Below are 4,311 nucleotides of genomic sequence, written 5' to 3'. Positions count from 1 at the left end.
TGAGTATTGGGACCATGGTGGCATTACTGGGAATTTTCAGGAATTTGGTTTTATAAGGTCATGCCCAGATTATTGGGTTGTGTCTACTCAGTAAACACTCATGAAACTGATGGATACATGAAGGCTCAGTTTTTCAAAGCCTTTAGCTATGTAAAGAGCAAAATACTAGGTTGAGCCATATGCAATTGTCAATATTCTACCATTTTTGATCAACAAAACTGGCATTTTTTTTTTTGGTATGCCTCAGCTTCATATAATGAAATCCTGTGTGCCCAATCACTCAGCTTCCACACCTACCAAGTCAAGCCTCTGTTGAATCTGTGTCCTACCTACTTTGACCTCTCTCTTCCCAGAGATAATTTCAGAGCAAATTCCATATGTATAATGATTTTGGTATGTCTTCAAAAAACAAAAAGCTCTTTTTGAAAGCATAACCACAATACCATTATTATTATTATTATTTTGAGATGGAGTCTCGCTCTGTGATCCAGGCTGGAGTAGAGTGGTGCAATCTTGGCTCACCGCAACCTCCGCCTCCCGGGTTCAAGCGATTCTCCTGCCTCAGCCTCCTGAGTAGGGAGGCTCCCAAGTTGTATTTTTAGTAGAGACAGGATTTCACCATGTTGGCCAGGCTAGTCTTGGACTCCTGACCTCAAGCGATCCACCCACCTCAGCCTCCCAAAGTGCTGGGATTACCGATGTGAGCCACTGCGCCTAGCAATTATTTTGATTCAAAATATTAATAATAATTATATAACATTTTCAAATACCCAATTATTATTCAAATTACCCAAATTGCCTCATATATTTTTAGTTTTTTACATCAGAATTCATATAATGTCCATAGATTGCAGTTGGTTGATTACTGTTTTAAGTCCTTTTAATCTATAGGTTTTTCTGTTTTCCTTTCTTATTTTTGAACAGGGTGTCATTCTGTCACCCAGGGTAGAGTGCAGTGGTCTGGTCATAACCCACTGCAGCCTCCAATTCCTGGGCTTACATAATCCTCCCTCTTCAGCCTCCTGAGTAACTGGGACTACAGGTGTGTGCCATCAATCCTGGCTAATTTTTAAAAAATTTTTAATGTTTTATAGAGATGGGGTCTCGCTAGGTTTCCTAGGCTGGTCTCAAACTCTTGGCCCCAAGGGATTCTTCTGCCTCAGCCTCCTAAATTTTTAGAAATTTGGTTTTATGAGGCAATGCCCAGATTATGGGGTAATGTGCTCACTCAATAAACACTCATGAAATAAAAACCTTTCATGATAAAAATTCTGAAGTGCTGGAATTACAGGTGTCAGCCACCACACCCAGCCAAAAGCTCTTGTTTCTCTTTTACCTATTACTTCTTTAATGCTTTTCCTTTATTTACGTAGATCTGAGTTTCTGACCTCTATTATATTCTTCTCTATAAATTACTTCTTTTAACATTTTTTTTTCTTTGAGACGGAGTTTCACTCTTGTCGCCCAGGCTGGAGTGCAATGGCACGATCTTGGCTCACTGCAACCTCTGCCTCCTGGGTTCAAGCAATTCACGTGCCTCAGCCTCCTAGGTAGCTAGGATTACCTGTGTATGCCACCACGCGCAGCTAATGTTTTTGTATTTTTAGTAGAGACAGGATTTCACTATGTTGGAGAGTCTGGTCTTGAACTCCTGGCCTCTAGTGATTCGCCCATCTACCATAGTGCTGGGTTTACAGGCATGAGCCACCACACACAGTCCTGAAGCAGCTTTTCAGGTTAACTTTAGAATGCCTTTGGCCAAGAGGAGGGGTCCCTTCAGATGGATGGGGGTGGTTATTTTTGGCTTACAAGCACTTGCTGGGTTTGTTTGGAGAGTCAACAGTTGACAGTAGCATCAATATTAATGGTTATATTACTTTTTTATTTTTTTGAGATGGAGTTTCACTCTTGTTGCCCAGGCTGGAGTGCAATGGCATGATCTCAGCTCAGTGCAACCTCTGCCTCCTGGGTTCAAGTAATCCTCCTGTCTCTGCCTCCCAAGTAGCTGAAATTACAGGCGCCTGCCACCACGCCCAGCTAATTTTTGTATTTTCAGTAGAGACAGGGTTTTGCCATGTTGGCCAGGCTGGTCTCAAACTCCTGACCTCAAATGATCCGCCCGCCTTGGCCTCCCAAAGTGCTGGGATTACAGCCGTGAGCCACCACGTCCAACCTAAAATTTTTTAATTAATAAAAAAAGAAGAAGATGAGTTGCTGTAAACATTTCATCCATGGTTCAAGGTGCAACCTATATATAAGCTGTTGTCAGGCCAAGTGTGGTGGCTCACACCTGCAATCGCAGAGCTTCGGAAGTCCTAGATGGGAGGATCGCTTGAGCCCAGGAGTTCAAGGCCAGCCTGGACAAGATAGCAAAACCCTCTCTCCACCCCCAAAAAAGAAGATAAATAGGCCAGGCATGGTGATGTGTGACTGTAGACCCTGCTACTAGAGAGGCTGTGGCAGGAGGATGGCTTGAGTCCAGGAGTTCAAGGTTGCAATGAGCTATGATTGCACCACTGCACTCCATCCTGGGTGACAGAGCAAGATCTTGTCTCTGAAAAATAATATATATATTATAGCATATATAATATTTATATTTTAGAGACAGGGTCTCTAAAGTTAAAGGTTAAAATTAAAGGTTAGAGTTCATCTAACCTTCCAAAACCATCTCCCTGGCATTCCTATAACCTCCCCTTTCCATACTTCCAGAGGAATCACACCCATGGAACCAGGAAACCAAACCAGTGCATCTCAATTCATCCTCCTGGGACTGTCAGAAAAGCCGGAGCAGGAAACACTTCTCTTTTCTCTGTTCCTCTGCATGTACCTGGTACAGTCCTGGGGAACCTGCTCATCATCCTGGCCATCAGCATAGACTCCCACTTCCACACCCCCATGTACTTCTTCCTGGCCAACCTGTCCCTGATTGATTTCTGTCTGGCCACCAACACCATCCCCAAGATGCTGGTGAGCCTTCAAACCGGAAGCAAGGCCATCTCTTATCCCTGATAATGCAAACATTCCTGGGCTCTCTATGGGGAAGCTGTGGCCCTGTGCCTGACCCCAAGGCACTGGGAGAGAAAGCCTTTCCTGACCCCAAGGTGTTACAGGAAAGGGGTCCAATCCAAATCCCAAGAGAGGGCTCTTGGATCTCAGGCAAGTCCACAAAGTGAAAACAAGTTTTTAGGAAAGCAAAGGAATAAAAGAATGACTACTCCATAGACAGAGAAGCCCCGAGGGCTGCTGGTTGCCCATTTTCATGGTTATTTCTTGATGATATGCTAAACAAGGGGAGGATTATTCATGCCTCACCTTTTTAGAGCATCTGGGGTAACTTCCTGATGTCGCCATGGCATCTGTAAACTGTCATGGTGTTACTGGTAGAAGGTGTTCAGGTTCTTGGATTCCCAAACAAAGAATTGGACAAAACACACCAACAAAGCAAAAGCAAAAGCAGCCATGAGCCACAGTGCCCGGCCTCAAGCTGACATGATATTAAGCAGAATGGCTTTGAATAATCAAACCTCTGATTTATTTGTGTTACTTTTCTTCCAAGAGAATTAAATTTTAATTTCTCAGGTGAACAAACAGACCTCCAGATGTGGCCCTGCTGTAGATTTCTATAAGTAAGTACACAGGTTGGAAAGACGAAGAAAATCTGCTTTCTGGTGACTATTCTGGTGAATGAAACACAGAATTTGACCGGGGATGGTGGCTCATGCCTGCAATCCCAGAACTTTGGGAGGCCAAGGCAGGTGGATCATTTGAGATCGGGAGTTAGAGACCAGACTGGCCAACATGGTAAAACCGCATCTCTACTAAAATACAAAAATTAACTGGGTGTGGTGGTGGGCATCTGTAATCCCAGTTACTTCGGAGGCTGAGGCAAGAGAATCACTTGAACCCGGGAGTCGAAGATTGCAGTGAGCTGAGATGGTGCCACCACACTCCAGCTTGGGTGACAGAGCAGGACTCTGGCAAAAAAAAAAAAAAAAAGAATGGCCAGGTGGCACGGTGGCTCACACCTGTAATCCCAGCACTTTGGGAGGCAGAGGCAGGCGGATCACCTGAGATCAGGAGTTTCAGACCAGCCTGGCCAAGGTGGTGAAACCCGGTCTCTACTAAAAATACAAAAATTTGCCAGGCGAGGTGGTGCGCACCTATAATCCCACTTACTTGGGAGGCTGAGGCAGGAGAATCACTTGAACCCGGGAGGCGGGGGTTGCAGGGAGCCAAGATCCCACCACTGCACTCCAGCCTGGGCTACAGAGAGAGACTCCATTTCAAAAACAAAGACAAAAACAGAATTTA

General features: G+C 44.6%; 1 pseudogene; it reads left to right on the top strand.

Moving 5' to 3' along the window:
- OR1M4P (olfactory receptor family 1 subfamily M member 4 pseudogene) lies at window positions 2,723–3,185 on the top strand (annotated as a pseudogene).

The sequence above is a fragment of the Homo sapiens genome, chromosome 19 (assembly GCF_000001405.40).
Source record: "Homo sapiens chromosome 19, GRCh38.p14 Primary Assembly".
NCBI lineage: Eukaryota > Metazoa > Chordata > Mammalia > Primates > Hominidae > Homo > Homo sapiens.
Note: the sequence above shows the minus strand (reverse complement) of the source record. Positions and strands in the feature narration are given on the sequence as shown.